The 23,080-nt window shown below is 48.5% G+C and overlaps 1 pseudogene, besides 1 other annotated feature; it reads left to right on the forward strand.

The window, feature by feature from the left end:
• Positions 4,763 to 4,963: a silencer, noted in NCBI's record as "peak6549 fragment used in MPRA reporter construct". NCBI's record gives its function as "represses an SCP1 promoter by STARR-seq MPRAs in K562 erythroleukemia cells {active_cell/tissue: K562}" and the evidence as "EXISTENCE:reporter gene assay evidence [ECO:0000049][PMID:32103011]".
• On the forward strand, positions 20,414 to 20,703 carry RN7SL43P (RNA, 7SL, cytoplasmic 43, pseudogene; annotated as a pseudogene).

Consider the following 23,080-nt stretch of genomic DNA (forward strand, 5'->3'; position numbering starts at 1 on the left):
TGAGCTGAGATCACGCCACTGGACTCCAGCCTGGGAAACAGAGCAAGACTTTGTCTCAACAAAATAAGCGTATCCCTGCCCATTTGAGAGCCCACATTGTTTCCACCTCTGAAGACCACGCACACTTCACGTATCACGCTAGTTGTTGATGATGGGAGAACTAGGGTGGTTTGAAAAACTGCAAGAAGAGGCTGGCCATGGTGCTCACACCTGGAGTCCTAGCCCTTGGGGAGGCCAAGGCGGGAGGATCACTTGAGCTAAGGAGTTTGAGACCACCCTGGGCAACCCCGGCTCTGCAAAAAATGCAAAAATTAGCCAGGCGTGGTGGTGGCACATGACTATAGTCCCAGCTACTTGGGAGGCTGAAGTGGGAGGACCACTTGAACCTGGGAAGTCAAGGCTGCACTGAGTTATGATCACACCCCTGTACTCCCTCCTGGACGACAGGCTGAGACCCTGTCTCAAAAAAAAAATGCTAGAAGACTTGGCAGTAAATCATGCTACATCCAAGGGGAAAGAAGCAGGGGTTGAGTTTTGCTGTTGACATTCAGTCTCTTTTCTCCAAATTCTTTTTTCTTTTCTTTCTTTCCTCCTTTACTTCTCTCTCTCTCCTTTCTTTTTTGAGACAGGGCCTCACTCTGTCACCCAGGAGGCTGGAATGCAGTGGTTCAGTCATGGCTCACTGTAACCTTGAACTCCTGGGCTCAAGCAATCCTCCCGCATCTGCCTACTGAGTAGCTGGGACCACAGGTGCACACCACCATGCCTAGATAATTTTTTACATTTTTTTTGTAGAGACAGGGTCTGCTGTATTTCCCAGGCTGGTCTCGAACTCCTGTGCTCAAGCGATTCTCCTACCTTGGCCTCCCCGAAGTGCTGGGATTACAGGCGTGCACCACCACACCTGGTGCCTCCAAACTTTTTTGCTCATTCAATAACATTTCCCAGGATCCTCTTATTGCTGGTCACTCTTCTAAGAGCTGGAGATACAACAGTTCACAGACAGTGCTTGCCCTCTTGGCACTTACCTTCTAGTCATAAGGAGACACAAATACATCATCTGATGGCAGATCATGGGGAGGTGAAGAGGAGCAGGATAGAGAGGATGGACATGATACTTCAGTTGAGGTGCTCACAGAAGGCATCTTGGGGCCAGGCATGGTGGCTCACGCCTATAATCCCGGCACTTTGGGAGGCCGAGGTGGGTGGATCACCTGAGGTCAGGAGTTCGAGACCTGCCTGACCAACATGGCGAAACCCCGTCTCTACTAAAAATACAACAATTAGCTCGGCATGGTGGTGCACATCTGTAATCCCAGCTACTCGGGACGCTGAGGCAGGAGAATCACTTGAACCCGGGAGGCGGAGGTTGCAGTGAGCCAAGATGACGCCATTGTACTCTGCCTGGGCAACAGAGAAAGACCTTGCCTAAAAAAAAGAAAAAAAAAAGACATCTTGGAAGAGGCTCCATTTGTAGATGAACATGGGGAGTTCTGGACCCAGGCACTCCATGTGGAGGCGGCGGGCTGTGCTCCTGGTGCACAGAAGCCATGCTCAGGTGCCCTGGGTCATTGCTAAGTGGAGACTAGGAGTCCTGTAGGGACGTGTCTCCCCATCTGAGGACAGGATTCCCCCAGGCTGCTGCCAGAGGGACCCCAGGGGGTGGTCAGCAGGAGGACGCACAGGGAGACGCTCCTCCAAAGACAGTCCAAGAAGGGAGCTCCCAGAGCTGAAGCACAGCATGGTGGGTGTGAGCTTAGACCCTGACTCCTACAGGCCTGTAACTGTTGCCAAGTGGCTGAGCCTTTTGTTTTGTTTTTGAGACGGAGTCTTGCTCTGTCTGTTGCCTAGGCTGGAGTGCAGTGGCGCGATCTCGGCTCACTGTGACCTCTTCCTGGGTTCCAGCAGTTCTCCTGCCTCAGCCTCCTGAATAGCTGGGATTACAGGCAACTGCCACCACACCCAGCTAATTTTTATATTTTCAGTAGAGACGGAATTTCACTATGATGGCCAGGCTGGTCTTGAACTCCTGACCTCAGGTGATCCACCCGTCTCAGCCTCCCAAAGTGCTGGGATTGCAGGCATGAGCCACCGCGTCTGCGTCTCTGCGTCTATCTGTGGCTGAGCCTCTTGTGCCTCAGTTCCCTCATCTGTAAAACAAGGATGGTGGGACTCATTTTAATGTGGTGAGGATTCAGCACGTCAACACAGTGTGTGGCACACAGTGAATGTTTATTTATTTATTTTTAGAGATAGAGTTTCATTCTGTTGCCCAGGCTGGAGTGCAGTGGCACGATCATAGCTCACTGCAGCCTCGACCTCCCAGCCTCAAGTAGTCTTCCTGCCTCAGCCTTCCGAGTAGCTGAGATTACATCCAGGCACCATCACGTCCAGCTAAGTTTTTTATTATAATTATTTTTTAGAGGCAGGGTCTCGTATTACCCAGGCTGGAGTGCACTGGTGTGATCACAGTCACAGCTCACTGTAATCTCAATCTCCTGGGCTCAAGCGATCCTCCTGCCTCGGTCTCCTGAGCAGCTGGGACTACTGGTGTGCAACACTGAGCCCAACTAACTTTTTTTTTTTTTTGAGACAGAGTCTTGTTCTGTCGCCCAGGCTGGAGTGCAGTGGCACAATCTCAGCTCACTGCAACCTCCACCTCCCTGGTTCAAGTGATTCATCCTTCCTCATCCTCCTGAGTAGCTGGGATTACAGGCACACGCCACCACGCCCGGCTAATTCTTGTATTTTTAGTAGAGACGGGTTTCACCATGTTGGTCAGGCTGGTCTCAAACTCCTGACCTCATGATCCGCCCGCCTCCGCCTCCTAAAGTGCTGGGATTACAGGCGCAACTAATTTTTTAAAGAATTTTTTGGCTGGGCATGGTGGCTCACACCTGTAATCCCAGCACTTTGGGAGGTCAAGGTGGGCAGATCACTTGAGCCCAGTAGTTTGAGACCAGCCTGGCCAACATGCAAAACCCCGTTACTAGAAAAAATAAAAAAAATGAGCTAAGCATGGAGACGCACACCTGTAGTCCCACCTCCCTGGGCGGTTGAGGTGTGAAGATCATCTAAACCCGGGCGATCCAGGCTCCAGTGAGCTATGATTGTGCTACTGCACTCCAGCCTGGGTGACAGAGTGAGATCCTGTCTAAAAAAAAAAGAAGTATTTTTTGGTAGAGATGCAGTTTCGCAGGCTGTTCTCAAACTCCTGGCCTCAAGCAATCCTGTCACCTAAGCCTCCCAAAGTGCCGGAATTACAGGAAATGGTAAGTGGAGGTGTCCGAGAATGCAGCTGGTGTGTCAACCTTGGTTACCCTTTGGAGAGGAGAGTTCACCAAGCAAAGAGAATCTTCCCTAAGCCCTAGTCCTTCATCACCGTGATGCTATCTGTGCTGTGGCTTCTTAACATTCGTTGTGGGGGTATGAGAACCAGTCTCTGAAAGGATGTGTATGTAACAGAAACAAGTTTCACTACATGATAATCACCCTCACTGCATAGGACACACACTGACACGTTTCCATTTAGTCTCTTTTCGTTTAACTAAAACACAGGGCGTGACCAGTACATTGATCGCATGGCCCACAAATGGAAGGCAGCCTGCAGTTTCAAGACACTGATCTAGAAAAAATCTTTTACAGCTGGGAGAGTTCTGACTCTGAATGCCAACATGCTAGCTATCAAGAATTTTGTCTTTTTATTTTTATTTTTTATTTTTTTGAGATGGAGTCTCGCTCTGTTGCCCAGGCTTGAGTGCAATGGCACAATCTCAGCTCACTGCAACCTCCACCTCCTGGTTCAAACAATTATCCTGCCTCAGCCTCCCAAGTAGCTGGGATTACAGGTCCCCACCACCATGCCCGGCTAATTTTTGTATTTTTAGTAGAGACGGGGTTTTGCCATATTGGCCAGGCTGGTCTCAAACTCCTGACCTCAGGTGATCTGCCCACCTTGGCTTCCCAAAGTGCTGGGATTCCAGACGCGAGCCACCACACGCAGCTCCTTTTTTTTTTTTTTTTTGAGACGGAGTTTCACTCTTGTTGCCTAGGCTGGAGTGCAATGGCCCGGTCTTGGCTCACTGCAACCTCCGCCTCCCTGGTTCAAGCGATTCTCCTGTCTCAGCCTCCCAAGTAGCTGGGATTACAGGTGCACGCCACCACACCTGGCTAATTTTTGTATTTTTAGTAGAGACGGCGTTTCACCATGTTGGTCAGGCTGGTCTTGAACTCCTCACCTCAGGCAATCTGCCCACCTTGGCCTCCCAAAGTGCCGGGATTACAGGTGTGAGCCACTGCACCCAGCCCTTTTTTGAGACAGTCTTGCTCTGTCACCCAGGCTGGAGTGCAATGGCGCGATCTCAGCTCACTGCAACCTCCACCTTCTGGGCTCAAGCGATTTTCCTGCCTCAGCCTCCCGAGTAGCTGAGATTACAGGCGCCTGTCACCATGCCCAGCTAATTTTTTTTTTTTTTTTTTTGTATTTTTAGTAGAGACAGGGTTTCGCCATATTGGCCAGGCTGGTCTCAAACTTCTAACCTCAAGTGATCTGCCCCCGTCGGCCTCCCAAAGTGCTGGGATTACAGGCGTGAGCCACCGCAGCAGCTGGGGCTGGTTGAGATTCTAAAGAAAGAAACACTAACTGCCAGGGTGATCAGGCCAGAACATTTATTAGGGGAATTTACTTAGGAGGGCTGCAGTGATCCTCACAACAGTGAGAGAAAAGGGAGGTTCTACCTAGGTATGTCTTCAGTGAGGGGCTCAGGGACAGGAATTTTTATGAGAGTATGAGAAATTTGGCTCAGGACCAGTTTTTTTTTTTTTTTCCAGTGTTTCGAGCAACAATCTAGATGCCTTTATCAGTGTCTGAGAATGTTCAAGGGAACATTCTGCTGGGAAGATCCTGCAGCTGCCTGGGTCACAGCATGGTGAAGGCATGCTGATGTTTAGTCAGGATGCAGGCTCCTTTAAAAAAAAAAATTCTAAAAAAGATATCCCTTAGCAAACTAAACGCAGGAACAGGAAACCAAATACCGCATGTTCTTGATTATAAGTGGGAGCTAAATGATGAGAACACATGGACACATAGAGGGAAACAACACGCACTGGGGCCTATTAGAGGGCGGAGAGTGGAAGGAGGGAGAGGATCAGGAGAAACAACTAATGGGTACTAGGCTTAATACCTGGGTGATGAAATAACCCCCATGACACAAGTGTACCTACGTAACAAACCTGAACCTGTACCCTTGACCTTGAAAGTTAAGAAAAATTTGGGCCAGGTGCGGAGGCTCATGCCTGTAATCCTAGCACTTTCAGAGGCCGAGGAGGGTGGATCACGAGGTCAAGAGATTGAGACCATCCTGGCCAACATGGTGAAACCCCATCTCTACTAAAAATACAAAAATTAGGGCCAGGCACGGTGGCTCAAACCTGTAATCCCAGCGCTTTGGGAGGCCGAGGCGGGCGGATCACGAGGTCAGGAGATCGAGACCATCCTGGCTAATGCAGTGAAACCCCGTCTCTACTAAAAATACAAAAAAATTAGCCAGGCGTAGTGGCGGGCGCCTGTAGTCCCAGCTACTCTGGAGGCTGAGGCAGGAGAATGGCTTGAACCCGGGAGGCGGAGCTTGCAATGAGCCGAGATCTCGCCACTGCACTCCAGCCTGGGTGACAGAGCAAGACTCCATCTCAAAAAAAAACAAACAAAAAAAACCAAAAATTGACTGGGTGGTGGTGGTGCATGCCTGTAGTCCCAGCTACTCAGGAGGCTGAGGCAGGAGAATCACTTGAGCCTGGGAGGTGAAGGTTGCAGTGAGCCGAGTGTGCCACTGCACTCCAGCCTGGTGACAGAGCAAGACTCTGTCTCAAAAAAAAAAAAAAAATTCAAAAGGTATCAACCCAGCCTGGGCAACACAGCAAGACCCTATCTCCACAAAAAATAAAAAAATTAGCCGGGTGTGGTGGCATACACCTGTAGTCCCAGCTACTTGGAGGCTGAGGTGGGAGGATTGCTTGAGTCCAGCAGTTTGAGGCTACAGTGAGCTATCTTTTTGGCACCAGGGACTGGTTTTGTGGAAGACAGTTTTTCCATGGATGGGGAGTAGTAGGGGATGGTTTTGGGATGAAACTGTTCCACCTCAGATCATCAGGCATTAGATTCTCATAAGGAACATGCAACCCAGATCCCTCCAATGTGCAGTACACAATAGGTGCTCTTATGAGAACCTAATGCTGCCACTGATCTGACAGGGGGTGGAGCTCAGGTGGGAATGCGAGCAATGGGGAGTGGCTATAAATACAGATGCAGCTTCACTTGCTTGCCCGCTGCTCACCTCCTGCTGTGCAGCCTGGGCACTGGAGACCACTGAGCTATGATCACCCCACTGCACCCAAGGCTGGGTGACAGAGCAAGACCCTGTCCCAAAAAAGAAAAAAAGACTGGGCACGGTGGCTCACACCTGTAATCCCAACACTTTGGGAGGCCAAGGTAGGTGGATCATCTGAGGTCGGGAGTTTGAGACCAGCCTCGCCAATGTGGCGAAAACCTGTCTCTACCAAAAATACAAAAAATAGCCAGGCGTGGTGCTGCATGCCTGTAATCCCAGCTACTCGGCAGGCTGAGGCAGGAGAATTGCTTTGGTCCAGGAGGCAGAGGTCACTCTTGTCTCCCAGGCTGGAGTGCAGTGGCACGATCTCGGCTCACTGCAAACTCTGCCTCCCCGGTTCAAGCAATTCTTCCGGCTTCAGCCTCCCGAGTAGCTGGGGTTACAGCACCTGCCACCACGCCTGGCTATAATTTTTTTGTATTTTTAGTAGAGACGGGGTTTCGCCATGTTGCCCAGGCTGGTCTTGAACTCCTGACCTCAGGTGATCCACTCACCTCGGCCTCCCAAACTGCTGGGATTACAGGCATGAGCCACCGTGCCCAGCCCCAAACAAAGTACACTTTTGCTTCAATTTAGTTTCATTGCTGGAAAATACAATGTATGTTAAGACTGTGCAAAAAATCCTTTCTGCAAAATAGAGTTCAGTTCAGGGCTCAAATGAGGATGAACATTTTTCATCTGTGTGAATGTTGGATACGACACTGGAGCCACATGGAACTTGGGACAGATCTTTGCAGAGTCTATGTCTGTATCCCAGGAGTGGGTTGCTATTATTAATATTATCTTTTAGATAGAGCCTCACTCTGTTGCCCAGGCTGGAGTACACTACAGTGGCATGATCATAGCTCACTGCAGCCTCAACCTCCCCAGCTAAAGTGATCCTCCCGCCCCAGCCTCCCAAGTAGCTGGGACCACAGGCAGGCACCACCATGCCCAGCTAGGTTGTTTTGTTTTGTTTTGGCTTGCTATGTTGCCTAGGCTGGTCTTGAACTTTTGGGCTCAAACAATCCACCTCCCTCAGCCTCCCAAACTGTTGGGATTACAGGTGTGAGACACTGCGCCTGGCCACAGGTTGCTATTACATTATTGTGATGATCAGAAAACCCCAAATTTCCAAAGTGACCTCAAGGGGGTGGCATCACCCACCACGGTTCTAGCATCCTGCCCAAGACAGAGCGGTTCCTGATTGCCTCAGCCTTTGACTTTCGACCCACCCTGGGCACCTAGGGCAGCTGTCACCCCCTACCCCCGCAGGCCAGGTCCACCAGCCTGAGGTCTGTTCCTCTTCCTTGGGGTTTACCTGACTGCCCTGCACCTCAAGATGATGATGGCGGCTGAGGAGGGACTGCCCTCTTCCTAGCCCTCCTGGAGGGAGAGGGAATGGATCCAGAGGATGGACCAGCCCTAAAGATGTCCATTTGACACCCAAGGAAGCCCAGTGTTGGGCGTGGTGGTTCCCGCCTATAATCCTAGCACTTTGGGAGGCCAAGGCAGGAGGATCACTTGAGGCCAGCAGTTCGAGACCAGCCTGGCCAACATGGGAAAACGCCGTATCTACAAAAATTACAACAATTAACCGGCCGTGGTGGCGCATGCCTGTAATCCCAGCTACTTGGGAGGCTGAGGCAGGAGAATTGCTTGAATCCAGTAGGCAGAGGTTGCAGTGAGCTGAGATCACGCCACTGCACTCCAGCCTGGGCCACAGAGCAAGACTCCGCCTCTAAAAAAAAAAAAAAGGAAGCCCAGGTTCCACCCAGGCAGCCATTGATGCTGGGAGACAAATGGTATACTTCTTTTATTTCCATCTTGTTTTCTGCATGTATCCTTGCCCCCCCCACCACACACACACACACACACACACACACACACACACACACACACACACACACAAGCAAATCACAGAATGCTGTGGGAACTAGAAGAGGGAGTAACTGTACCCACTGTCATGTGCATTTTTTTCGCACCCAGATACATAATGATAGCCCATACTCTGGGGTGTGGGAAATGCCACCCACAAAGTTGGTAGCACAACACGGCCATGCCATGGATTGGACGAGATGTGCGGCCCGTGTTGGATGATTCACAAATGGCGTGAATTGGAAAGAATGAGCCAAAAATACACAGTGGGAAACCAAAAGGTTGGCCAGAAGTGTGTGATATCTAGAGGATGTGGGATATGCAACTTTTAGTGACAGCGACATTAGAGATCTTGGCCTGGGTTAGATTCCAGAAAAATGAGAGATGTCAAAAGTCTAAGCAAAGCAAGCCAGGCAAAGAAAATCCTGGAGGTGGGTCTGGCCACAATTCGAGTGTCAGCAACAAATGGATGAAGTGTGTGTGTTTGTGTGTGTGCATGCGTGCACGCGTGTGTGTTTCTTAGATGGGACCTTCCAGAGTATATCTTCGGCCAAATTTTTTTTTTTTTTTAGAGACAGGGACTTGCTCTGTCACCCAGGCTGGAGTGTAGTGATGTAAGCATAGCTTACTGCAGCCTCAAACTCCTGGCCTCAAGTGATCCTCTCGCCTTGGCCTCCCAAAACACAGGGATTATAGCTGTGAGCCACTCCACCCAGCCCACTTTCATGTGTCCTATTTATTTTATTTTATAATTTTTTTTTTGGAGATGGGGTCTTGCTATGTTGGCCAGGTTGGTCTTGAACTCCTGGTTCCAAGCAATCTTCCTGCCTTGGCCTCCCAAACTGCTGGGATTATAAGTGTGAGCCACTATGCCCAGACAATCTTCGTGTATCTTTTCTTTTTTTTTTTTTTGAGATGGAACCTTGCTCTGTCACCCAGGCTGGAGGGCAGTGGCGTGATCTCAGCTCACTGCAATCATTGCCTCCCGGGTTCAAGTGATTCTCCTGCCTCAGCCTCCTGAATAGCTGGGATTACAGGCACCCACAACCACGCCCAGCTACTTTTTGTATTTTTAGTAGAGACGAGGTTTCACCATGTTGTCCAGGCTGGTCTCGAATTCCTGACCTCAGGTGATCTGCCTGCCTCGGCCTCCCAAAGTGCTGGGGTTACAGGCGTGAGCCACCACACCTGGCCTCTTCTTTTTTTGAGACAAGGTCTTAGTCACTCAGGCTGGAGTGCAGTGGCTCAATCATAGCTCACTGCAGCCTTGATCTGCTGAGCGATCCTCCTGCCTCAGCCTCCCAAGTAACTGGGACTACAGGTGAGTGTCACCACACCTGGCTTTTCTTTTTTCTTTTTTTTTTTTTTTTTTTTTAGAAACAGGGTCTTGTGATGTCATCCATGCTGGTCTTGAAGTCCTGGGCTCAAGTGATCCTCTTGCCTCAGCATCCCAAAGTGCTGGGATTATAGGCGTGAGCCACTGTGCCCAGCCCATCTTTGTGTATTTTAAGCCCCAATTCTAAAAACCTGAAACATGCATACCTTATTTAGAGCAAACAATGGTGCTTTTCTCCTTGGTAGCCAGTTCTGATTCCTGGTAGCCAGCAATTACTAATGTCCAGGTCATGGACAGGGAGTGGCTTACTGGGAGACAGGAGAACCTAGTGGTTAGCAGGTTGGGTTTAGGATTAGGAGCTGGCTTGCCTGGGTTCAAAATCTGGCACTGATGCTTCTTTGGGTAATTTTGGGCAAATTTCTTTTTTTAAAAAAATAGAGTTGGTTGGGGGGGGGGGTGTCTCACTATGTTACCCAGGCTGGTCTCGAACTCGTGGTTTCAAGTGATCCTCCCACCTCCACCTCTCTAAATGGTGGAATTACAGGCGTGAGCCACTGCCCCCAGCCACAAATTTCTTTTCTTCTTCTTTTTTTTTGAGATGGAGTCTTGCTCTTGTTGCCCAGGTTGGAGTGCAATGGCATGGTCTCAGCTCACTACAATTTCCGCCTCCCAGGTTCAAGCATTCTCCTGCCTCAGCCTCCCGAGAGGCTAGGATTACACGTGCCTGCCACCATGCCTGGCTAATTTTTGTATTTTTAGTAGAGACGGGGTTTCACCATGTTGGCCATACTGGTCTCCTGACCTCACGTGATCCACCTGCCTCGGCCTCCCAAAGTGCTGGGACTACAGGAGTGAGCCACCATGCCCGGCCGCAAATTTCATTTGTACTCTGTATGCCTCCATTTCATCATCTGTAAAAATAGGGATAATAATAGCACTTACTACCCAGCGTTCTTGTGAAGATTAAATGAATTAAGATATGTGAAGCCTGTAGATGGTCATTGTTTTCTGTAATTGGAGGAAGGGTGGTTAGAGTCAGCCTGCCTACCTCACACTCAGTCCATCCAGGGAATTACGTGTGTGCGTGGGACAGTTTTTGCAGGTCAAAACTGCAAAACAGTTTGGCAGAGGCAGGAACAGAGCTGTGTTTACAAGCCCCGCCCCTGTCCTATTCAGGCCCTTCCTACCTCAGTCCCTGTGATACTGGAGGAGGGCAGGGAAGTGCTGGGTAGAGAAAGGCGGGTCCCTGCTAGGGCTGCATCCCCATGGACCTAGGTGAGGACAGGCACATCTGCCTTCATGCCCAAATGTTGCATTTTCCACTTCTTATGACCTTCCTGCTGAAGGATGCAGAGGGCTTGGAGCTCACCCAGCTGCAGTTTCGAGCCCCCATTGGTAATGCCAGTACCTTGGAGTTAGGGCAGGGGAGTGAGGTCGTGGCTGCCCAGCCCTGCCAGAGGTTGCAGGGAGCAGTCAGATAGTTATGTATTGAGTTCTGGTCCTGCAAAGCCAGCCCAAAGCTGCAGGAACCTGGCTGGAGCTGGATGTGGAGGGTGTTTGGGACTGGCCAGCCCTGTGGCAGTCTTCGGCTGGCACAATGGCATGGGTACAAACATGGCATCTGTATCAGCCCATTCTTGCATTGCTATAAAGAGCTACCTGAGACTGGGTAAGTTATAAAGAAAAGAAGCTAAATTGGTTCACGGTTCCACAGGCTGTACAGGAAGCATGGCTAGGGAGGCCTCAGGAAACTTACAATCATGGCAGAAGGCGAAGAGGCACGTCTGCATGGCTGGAGCAGGAGGAAGAGAGTGAAGGGGGAGGTGCCACATACTTTTTTTGGTTTTGTTTTGAGATGGAGTCTCACTCTATTGCCCAGGTTGCAGTGCAATGGCAAGATCTTGGCTCACTGCAACCTCCACCTCCCGGGTTCAAGTGATTCTCCTGCCTCAGCCTCCCAAGTAGCTGGGATTATAGGCATGCGCCACCACACCCAGCTAATTTTTGTATTTTTAGTAGAGATGGGATTTCACCATGTTGGTCAGGCTTGTCTTGAACTCCTGACCTCAGGTGATCCAGCCGCTTTGGTCTCCCAAAGTGCTGGGATTACAAGTGTGAGCCACCACGTCCAGCTGGTGCCACATACTTTTAAACAACCAGATCTTGCGAGAACTCACTATCATAGGAACAGCAAGAGGGAAATCCGCCCCCATGATCCAATCACCTCCCACCAGGCCCCTCCTCCAACACTGGGGACCACAATTCAACATCAGATTTGGGCAGAGACACAAATCCAAACCATATCAGCATCTCAACACAAAAATACCCCTAAAACCTCTGGGCACAGGTGGCAGTGAGCTGAGATCGTGCCACTGCACTCCAGCCTGGGTGACAGAACGATACTCTGTCTCCAAAAAAAAAAAAAATTAAAATTAAAAGGAAGAATAATCTTAGGAAAGAAGTTTTCACATTATATTCAGATTTTTTCTTTTCTTTCTTTTTCTTTTTCTTTCTTTTTTTTTTTTTTTTTGAGATGGAGTCTCACTCTGTCACCCAGGCTGGAGTGCAGTGGCACAATCTCGGCTCACTGCAAGCTCCGCCTCCCGGGTTCACACCATTCTCCTGCCTCAGCCTCCTGAGTAGCTGGGACTACAGGCGCCCACCACCACGCCCAGCTAATTTTTTGTATTTTTAGTAGAGATGGGGTTTCACCATGTTAGCCAGGATGGTCTCCATGTCCTGACCTCGTGATCTGCCCGCCTCGGCCTCCCAAAGTGCTGGGATTACAGGCGTGAGCCACTGCGCCCGGCCTGCAGATTTTTTCTTTACTTCATTTATTTATTTACTTATTTTAAGAGACAGGGTCTCACTCTATTACCCAGGCTGGTCTTGAACTCCTGGGCTCAACAGATCTTCCTGCCTTGGCCTCCCAGTGGGTGAGCCGGTGGACCTGGCCATCTTCAAAAATTGAAATCACTGAAAGGCACCTGGTCATCATTTTCTTGTCAAACTTTTCAATCAGAGCAAGTAATCTGTGGTTGCCCAGCCTTCAGATTAGTAGACTCGAGTGGAGACCAGGCCATATTCCAGGGAGCCACCTCAGGCCTTTTGACCTGGAACGCACAGGTGATTACCACAGCCCAGGGTGATAAAGAACTCATTCCTATGACTTGAAAGGGTGATTTTAATGTGTGCTGGACATTGCCCTAAGTATTTACGCACATTATCTCACTTAGCTCTTTACCAGTGAATGAGGTACCTATTAGCAGCCTCCTTCCACAAATACATTGAAGTTGAGTGAGATTAGATAAATTGCTCACCTGTCTTAGCAAAGGCTTTCTGGTATGAGTTACAGAAACGAACTTCAGCTGAATCTTTTGCAAAGAAAAAGAATATGGGACCCGGGGCGTGGCTCACGCCTATAATCCCAGCACTTTGGAAGGCAAAGGCAGGCGGGTCACCTGAGGTCAGGAGTTTGAGATCAACCAGGCCAACATGGTGAAATCCTGTCTCTACTAAAAATACAAAAATTAGCCAGGCGTGGTGATGGGCACCTGTAGTCCCAGCTACTCAGGAAGCTGAGGCAGGAGAATTGCTTGAACCCGGTAGGTGGAGGTTGCAGTGAGCTGAGATCACGCCATTGCACTCCAGCCTGGGCGACAGAGCGAGACTCCGTCTCAACATAAATTAATAACAAATAAGAAAAAGAATACAGGTGGGCAGCCAAAGTTACTTGTAGGCTCTCAGGATATCTCGCTGAATCCAGGGGCTGATTTGCTACGAGACAGAGGAAGGTGCTGAACCTGGCTCAGGAGACAGCTGGAAACTCAGGTAACAGACCCCAGAGTCCTCTTTTTCTCCACCTGCAGAATGGGTTCTTTCTCTTGGTATCTGTATCCTTGTAGAGAAGCATGGCTGCCCCACAACTCCTGGAATCACAGAAGACAGGTTCAGCCATCTGCAAAAATCCATGATTATTGTTCTGTCCATATTCTAAACTCCTTAGAGAGACAATCGTTATCTTCTTAGCAAAGGTTATTCCTTTTATGTGGTTGCATAAGAGTCTGTCTGTCTCGCTCTCTCTTTCTTCCCCCTTGTGTTGAGAGACAGAGATTCTAGAGAAGAAATGGAAGAATCGTGGGCTGGGCAGATATCCTAAAATGTGCCTGCTGCATACCAACTTTACACAACTAGTAAGGTTTAAATTCCTGTCTTTCCAACTCTGTTTCAAATAGACTCTGGACTGGTCAGCCGCAGTGGCTCACACCTGCAATCCCAGCACTTTGGGAGGCTGAGGCGGGCAGATCACTTGAGGCCAGGAGTTCGAGACCAGCCTGTGCAACATGGCGAAACGCGGTCTCTACTAAACACACAAAAATTAGCCGGGCGTGGTGGCGGGCGCCTGTAATCCCAGCTACTCAGGAGGCTAAGGCGGGAGAATCACTTGAACCTGGGAGGCAGAGGTTGCAGTGAGCAGAGGTCCCATCACTACATTCCAGCCTGGGCGACAGAGCAAGACTACTCCAGCCTGGGCAATAGGGCAAGACTCCGTCTCAAAAAAAAAAAAAAAAAAAAAAAAACACTAAACAGGCCAAGCGAGGTGGCTCCCACCTGTAATCCCAGCACTTTGGGAGGCTGAAGGGGGCAGGTCACCTGAGGTCAGGAGTTTGAGACCAGCCTGACTAAAATGGAGAAACCCCGTCTCTACTGAAAATAGAAAATTAGCCAGGCATTGTGGTGCATGCCTGTAATCCCAGCTACTCGGGAGGCTGAGGCAGGAGGATCATTTGAACCCGGGAGGCGGAGGTTGTGGTGAGCCGAGATCGCGCCATTGCACTCTAGCCTGGGCAACAAGAGTGAAACTCTGTCTCAAAAACAAAGCAACAAACAAATTAAGGAACAAACACCTCTGGCTGGGCTATTCCCACTTCCATAGTACTTTAAAACAAATCTGATACTTTTTTTTTCTTCCCGAGAGGGAATCTCGCTCTGTCGCCCAGGCTGGAGGGCAGTGGGGCAATCTCGGCTCACTGCAAGCTCTGCCTCCCAGGTTCACGCCATGCTCCTGCCTCAGCCTCCCGAGTAGCTGGGACTACAGGTGCCCACGACCACGCCCGGCTAATTTTTTGTATTTTTGGTAGAGACGTGGTTTCACCGTGTTAGCCAGGATGGTCTTGATCTCCTGACCTTGTGATCCACCCACCTCGGCCTCCCAAAGTGCTGGGATTACAGGCGTGAGCCACCGCGCCTGGCCTGATACTTAAGTCTCTGTCAGCCTCTCAAGAGGGCCATCCCATCTATAGCCATATCCCTCTGAAACATCCCATCTCACCAAAAGGACCACCAGGGTTTGAGAAAATCTGCGGCAGATCTTGCTGGGCTGAAGTCTTACGTACGTTTGATCTCTCGGCATTTCTGTTGTGTTCCTCCCTACGCCCCCAGCTCTGAACTGTCTAAATGCCTGTTCTTACCTTAAAATATTGATCTACAAACTAGAATAGTGGTTCTGAAACTTTAGCGTGCATCAGAGTCACTTGGAGAGTTTACTGACTTATAGATTTACAGTTTATTGAGATTAAAAATTGCTGGGCCCCGTCTCTGATTGATTAGGTTTGGAATGAGGTTTAAGATTTTTCTTTTTTGAGACGGAGTCCCGCTCTGTCACCCAGGCTGGAGTGCAATGGTGCGATCTCGGCTCACTGCAACCCCCGCCTCCCAGGTTCAACCAATTCTCCTGCCTCAGCCTCATGAGTGGCTGTGATTGCTGGCGTGAGCCACCACACCCGGCTAATTTTTGTATTTATAGTAGAGATGGGGTTTCGCCATTTTGGCCAGGCTGGTCTCGAATTCCTGACCTCAGGTTATCTGCCTGCCTCGGCCTCCCAAAGTGCTGGGAATCCAGGCGTGAGCCAGCGCGCCCGGCCAAGATTTTGCATTTGTAACAAGTTCTTGTTACCTACGCAGTGGATGAGTTCAGTCGCTTGGTGGATTACAGACAGCTCCCAAAACAGTGCCACTTGGAGAGTGGGGGCTGGGTTGGCTTTTATAGGCCTAGGCTAATGAGTCATGATATGATTGGATCTTGTAGTCAGGTGATGCCAGGAGGTGTGATCTGACTGGATGCTGCAATGGGGTGATGCCAGGGCTCAATCTGATTGGATCCTGGATCCTGGTGGGCTGTGTCTGTTTCTTAATTTAGTCCCCATGCCCCGATCCTAGCACTTAGGATCCCCCTGTGGGTGCAGGCTTGGTTCGTCTGGACGTGCTCAGGTTACATAATCTGAGGGTTCCAGGCAACTGATAAACTAACGACTTTGTTACATAAAAGTTGAAGCAGGCCGGGCGCGGTGGCTCATGCCTGTAATCCCAGCACTTTGGGAGGCCGAGACGGGCGGATCACGAGGTCAGGAGATCGAGACCATCCTGGCTAACACGGTGAAACCCCATCTCTACTAAAAATACAAAAAATTAGCCGGCCTGGTGGCACACACTTGTAGACCCAGCTACTCAGAAGGCTGAGGCAGGAGAATGGCGTGAACCCAGGAGGCGGAGCTTGCAGTGAGCCGAGATTGAGCCACTGCACTCCAGCCTGGGCAACAGAGCGAGACTCTGTCTCAAAAAAAAAAAAAAAAAAAAGTTGAACCAGATTGGTCTAGTGCAGCTACAGGCGCGGTGGCTCACGCCTGTAATCCCAGGACTTTGGGAGGCTGAGGCAGGCGATCCTAATGGTGTATCCCCACTTTGAGAACTACTTAACTAGAAGAAGCCAAAGTCACGAATACATCCCCTAATGCAAAGCCTCACAACTAGCAGGCGATCAATACATGCTTATTTTATAAACTTCCTAATGCAGAGAGTCCAATTTTTCTCTATTTCTTCACGTCGATTTAATTACTTAGATTGGAGTCTTTGTCAGCCGGGCGCAGTGGCTCACTCCTGTAATCCCAGCACATTGGGAGGCTGAGGCGGGGGGATCACCTGAGGTCAGGAGTTCGAGACCAGCCTGACCAACATGGAGAAACCCCATCTCTATTAAAAATACAAAATTTGCCGGGCGTGGTGGTATATGCCTGTAATCCCAGCTACTTGGGAGGCCGAGGCAGGAGAATCGCTTGAACCTGGGAGGCGGAGGTTGCGGTAAGCTGAGATGGCGCCATTGCACTCCAGCCTGGGCAACAAGAGCGAAACACCGTCTCAAAAAAAAAAAAAAAAAGATTGGAGTCTTTGTCCAAAACATGCTGTTTCAGAATTAAGCGGTGGGGGGGGGGGGGGGGAATAATTGTAATAAAAAGTTCTGTTTGCCTTTATTATTTATGCATTTATTTATTTTCAGGACGGAGTCTCTCTCTGTCACCCATGCTGGAGTGCAGTGGCCTGATCCTGGCTCACTGCAACCTTCGCCTCCAGGGTTCAAACGATTCTTCTGCCTCAGCCTCCTGAGTAGCTGGGATTACATGATGTCTGGAATCTATGAATAACATTGGTTTCTAAGTTATGAGTTGAGTTTTAACTACTGGGTTTAGACCAGGCAGGCCCAGGCGTGGTTTCGGGCATGGCGCTGGGCTGCCTGTCTTTGGTTTTACTTCCTTGTTGTTTTTTCTTAAAACAGGTACTGAGTATAAAACAATATAAAACAATATGAGAGGATCTCTCTCTTCCCTCATCACTGTGTTAGCCAGGCTGGTCTCGAACTCCTGACCTCAGGTGATCCATCCACCCTTGGCCTCCCAAAGTGCTGGAATTACAGGCGTGAGCCACTGCACCTGGCCCTATGTTTGCCTTTATAAATAAGATTTATTTTAGCTCTTCTTTCTTTCTAATGCAAAGTACTTTAACAATTTTAAAAAATTAAGTGTTTCAATCGGGTGGGTATGGTGGCTCATGCCTGTAATCCCAGCACTTCTGGAGGCTGAGTCAGGAGGATCGCTCGAGCCCAGGGGGTTGAGACTAACCTGGGAAACATTGTGAGACCCCATCTTTATTTTTAAAAATGATTTCAATACAGAAAATGCCTGTTATTGCCATAAAGAGCTATCTTGATAGCTGGACCATTGCACTTCAGGAGTAGCTGTTGTATGGCAGCCGTGGAAATTGTGCAGTGCTCAGCCTGTGCAACCACATGTGGCAGCCTGGTGGAGAGTTTCTCTGCGATAAATAGTAATGAAATATTTCTCTCCCTCCCCACTTTTCAAAGCTTCTTTTTTTTTTTTTTTTTCTGAGACAGTTTCACTCTTGTGGCCCAGGCTGGAGTGCAATGGCGTGATCTCAGCTCACCGCAACCTCCGTCTCACGGGTTCAAGCAATTCTCCTGCCTCAGCCTCCCGAGTAGCTGGAATTACAGGCATGCGCCACCATGCCCAGCTAATTTTGTATTTTTGGTAGAGACAGGGTTTCTCCATGTTGGTCAGGCTGGTCTCGAACTCCTGACCTCAAGTGATCCGCCTGCCTTGGCCTCCCAACTTGCTGGGATTACAGGCCTGAGCCACCGCCTGGCCTCAAAGCTTCTTTTGTTAAAGGTTTGGGCTATTTTTTAGTAACTTTTAGTCTCATTGCATTTTTTCCCAGCTTCCTTTCCTTTTTTTTTTTTTTTAATTGAGACCGAGTCTTGCTTTGTTACCGAGGTTGGAGTGCAGTGATAAAATCTTGGCTCACGCCAACCTCCACCTCTCAGGTTCAAGCGATTCTCCTGCCTCAGCCTCCCAAGTAGCTGGGATTACAGGTGCCCACCACCACGCCCGGCTAATTTTTGTATTTTTAGTAGAGATGGCATTTCACCATGTTGGCAAGGCTGGTCTCGAACTCCTCACCTCAAGTGATATGCCTGCCTCAGCCTCCCAAGTGCTGGGATTATAGGCATGAGCCACCGCACCCAGCGCTTTCCTTTTCTCTTGATGTGACTTGCTAAACCACTTGACAAAGAAGCTGAGGTTATTAGGCTTTTCTTTTCACAAATAAGGTGAATGAATCATAAGCCCATGTCTGCTGCTTTATTTACTGAATTAGTGTTCTAAAAATAAAACAGCACTCTTTAAGTCCAACATTTATACCTAAATTCTGGGCCCTGAAATGTAATTGTGCACCTGGGCCCGTATTTAACTTCAAATTCTCCATCTGTGTAAGATGCATAATACCAGGTCTACTATGCAGACAGTTACGGTAAGTCAGACGATGTCTGAAAAACACTTGAGACACACAGTTGCCATGTTCTGTGTACTGACGGAAAGTATGAAATTAGCAAAACATGCAGGGAATATTCAGCTGTATTCATTACTGTGTTTGGGCAAAATACGGTAAAGAAATTGCTCAGCATAGTTTCTCTGAAGATGTTTGGGTATACTTAGTATGCTTTGCAAACCTTGGAATTGGATTTAATTTTTACTTAGAGAATTAAGCATCTAATTATTGCCACAAAAAATAGTAGATTAAGGCCATGCACAGTGGCTCACGCCTGTAATCCTAGCACTTTGGGAGGCTGAGGCAGGTGGATCACCTGGGTTCAAGGGTTCGAGACCAGCGTGGCCACTGTGATGAAACCCCGTCTCTAATAAAAAAAAAAAATTTAGCTGGGCATGGTAGGGGGCGCCTGTAATCCCAGCTACTTGGGAAGCTGAGGCAGGAGAATCACTTGAACCCAGGAGGCGGAGATTGCAGTGAGGAGAGATTGCCCCACTGCACTCCAGCCTGGGCAACAGAGCGAGACTCTGTCTCAAACAAACAAACAAAATAGTAGATTAAGTTTGGGCAACATAGGAAGACCCTGTCCCTACAAAAAGTTAAAATAATTAGCTAGGCGTGGTGGCACAAGCCTGTAGTTCCAGCAACTCTGGAGGCTGAGGCAGGAGGATTGATTGAACCTAAGAGTTCTAGGCTGCAGAGAGCTATGATTGCACCACTGCACTCTGTTACAGATGTATACATGTACTGAGTCATGATGGAAAATGGATTGATTTAGAAATGTTTGGGTATGATGGCTTGCTCATTGCCCTTCTATGGTTCACTATAGCTTAGGCTATTTGGAGAAAAGCAAAACATTTGAAAGCTGAAACATTCAAAACATTCAAAGATTCAAAGCTGAAATCTGTGATCCATGCCATGAAACTCAAGGAAAAAAAAATGCGGCAGTTATTTTAGTGGCACCAAGTCCTGGGGCTCCTGGATCCCAGCCTAGGAGGAGAGGGACGTGAAGAAAAGTAAGGGCCAGCACATTTTGACTGTTCTGGGGAAAAGGAACTGCAGCAAGAAGTAACTGCTCTGCTCAAAACATTCCTATTCTCTCTCTCTCTCGTCTCACTCTGTCACTCAGGCTGGAGTGCAGTGGTGCGATCTCGGCTCACTGCAACCTGTGCCTCCTGGGTTCATGTGATTCTCCTGCCTCAGTCTCCCTAGTAGTTGGGATTACAGGTACCTACCACCACTCCCAGCTAATTTTTTGTATTTTTAGTAGAGAAGGGATTTCACCATTTTGGCCAGGCTGGCCTCGAACTCCTGACCTTGGGTGATCCGCCTGCCTCAGCCTTCCAAAATGCTGGGATTATAGGCATGAGCCAACGCGCCTGGCCAGCCTCTCTTTATTGGGAGCTTTCCATCCACTCTCCATCTCTTCTGCCTTTTCTTTTTAAATCTCCTCATCACTTCCTTGCAAACTCTCCATGCCTCCTAGTGCCTGAGGTAGGTATAAGACAGCTTGAAACCAGTAATCTACAATTCTTTCCTGGGCTTTCCGTTCTCACAACAGAGTCTGTGTCACCTGCTAAGGTACTGAAACTGACTCAGTTCTTTCATAGAGCAGATGTTTATGGTTTCTTTTGAATAAACATAGAAATTGACACTTCTAGCCTGGTGTGGTGGAGTGTGCTGGTATTCCCAGCTACTTGGGAGGCTGAGGCGGGAGGATCCTTTGAGCCCAGGAGTTCTGGGCTGTAGTGCGCTATGCCAATCAGGTGTCTGCACTAAGTTTAGCATCAACTTCCTGGGAGTGGGGGACCACCAGGTTGCTTAAGGAGGGGTTAACCAGTTCAGGTCGGAGACTGAGCAGGTCAAAACTCCTGTGCTGATGAGTAGTGGCATCACGCCTGTGAATAGCCACTGCACTTCAGCCTGGGCAACATAGTGAGACCCTGTCTCAAAACAAAACAAAAGCAAAAGCAAAAAGAGAAACAAATTGACCTTTCCAGTCTTGAAATTTGAGAAAGTGACATTTGCCTTATCTGAGTTCCTTTCTCAGGAAATCAACCATCAAGCCTCCCAGATGGTATCAAGGAACTGAAACTTACCAGATCACTGCATTTGGACAATGAGATGCAGAACCCCTCATCTGTCATAATGGCCTAACAGACCACCTGCTGCCTGTTGATCAACTCCTCTTCCTTACCCCTCCCTAATTCCTGTTTTACTGCATGTAGTTACATTTCTTCCTTCCTATATAAACCTCTAATTTTAGTTGGTCAGGGAGACAAATTTGAAACTGATCTCCCATCTCCTTGGCTGGAGCACCCAATTAAAGCCTTCTTCCCTGGCACTACTGATTGGCTTTCTGTGCAGCAAGCGGCAGGACCTACACCAAACCCCTGGCATTTTGGCAACAGCACTGGTCATGCTAGGGAAAAAGTTCAAGATCTCAACTTCCAAGACCCAGGGAAGCCTCTCACAATTTCTAAAGGGCAGGGCAGAAGAGATCTTTGAAAGTGAATCTGAATGAGAATAAAAGTGCAGTTTCACTTTAAATTTTCCAAAAAGCTTATTAAATTGGTATTTTCATATGCTTTTGAAAACTTTATTTATTTATTTATTTAGAGACAGAGTCTCACTCTGTCACCTAGGTTGGAGTGCAGTGGCGTGCTCTCGTCTCACTGCAACCTCTGCCTTTCAGGCTCAAGCGATTCTCCTGCCTCAGCCTCCTGAGTAGCTGGGATTACAGGTGGCACCACCACCATGCCCAGCTAATTTTTGTATTTTTTTTTTTTTTTGAGACAGATTTCGCTAGTTTCGCCCTTGTTGCCCAGGCTGGAGTGCGATGGTGCAAACTTGGCTCACTGCAACCTCCACCTCCCTGGTTCAAGTGATTCTCCTGCCTCAGCCTCCCAAGTACGTGGGATTACAGGTGCCCACCACCACATCCAGCTGATTTTTTGTGTTTTAGTGGATATGGGGTTTCACCATGTTGGCGAGGCTGGTCTTGAACTCCTGTCCTCAAGTGATCCACCAGCCTTGGCATCCCAGAAGGATGGGATTATAGGCATGAGCCACTGCGCCTGGCCTAATTTTTATATTTTCAGTAGAGATGAGGTTTCACCACATTGGCCAGGCTGGTCTCGAACTCCTGACCTCAGGTGATCCGCCTACCTCTGCCTCCCAAAGTGCTGGGATTGCAGGCATGAGCTACCGTGACTGGCTGAAAACTTTATTTCAAAACTAATCATGCTGGTTGTAATATGCTTGTGTAGGTTACATGTATATTTTTCCACAGATTTTTCTATGCTCTTTCAACCGTATATACACCTGTACACACATATTTAGGGTTTTTCCTCCAAAAAAGTGACAAAAATGGGATCACGCCATAATACATTCCTCCATAGTTTTATTCCCTCTTCCATCTCTACCCCTCCTCCACTTATTACCATGGACATCCCTGTAGGACATACGGGAAGATGTCTCATTTGTTAAAATATACTTAATATTCCACAATAGGCTGGGTGCAGTTGCCCACACCTGTAATCCCAGCACTTTTGGGAGGCTGAGATGGGCCGGATCACCTGAGGTCAGGAGTTCAAAACCAGCCTGGCCAAAATAGGGATACCCTGTCTTTACTAAAAGTACAAAAATTAGCCAGGCATGGTGATGCGTGCCTGTAGTCCCTGCTATTCAGGAGCTGAGGCAGGAAAATCACTTGAATCCGGGAGTTGGAGGTGGCAGTGAGCTGAGATTGCACTACTGCACTCCAACCTGGGCAACAGGGCGAGACTCCATCTCAAAAAAAAAAAAAAAAAAAAAAAAAAATCCACAATAAGTAGATGTTACAATTCATTTAACTATAGGTTGAGTATCCCTAATCTGAAAAAAACCCCAAATTAGAAACATAATGCTCAAAGGAAATGGTCCCTGAGCATTTTGATTTTTGAATTTTTGAATTAGGCATGAAAATATGCCAAAATCTGAAAAAATATCTGAAATTTTAAATACTTATTTCCCAAGCATTTGGAATAAGTGATACTCAGCCTATATTTGCTATTGATGGCCATTTTCAGTTTTTACTAATACAAGCAGAAAATAACATTAGAATTTAGGTAATTTTATTTCTGGCAGATAGATGCCTAAAGAGCAATCAATTGCTGTATCAAATGGTGCACATGGCCAGGTACAGTGGTTCATGCCTATAATCTCAGGGCTTTGGGAGGTCGGGGTGGTAGGATTGCTTGAGGCCAGGAGTTTGAGACCAGCCTGAGCAACATAGCAAGGCTCTGTATCTACGAAAAATAAAAAAAAATTAGCCGGGCATGGTGGT

The sequence above is a fragment of the Homo sapiens genome, chromosome 7 (assembly GCF_000001405.40).
Source record: "Homo sapiens chromosome 7, GRCh38.p14 Primary Assembly".
Taxonomy (NCBI): Eukaryota; Metazoa; Chordata; class Mammalia; order Primates; family Hominidae; genus Homo; species Homo sapiens.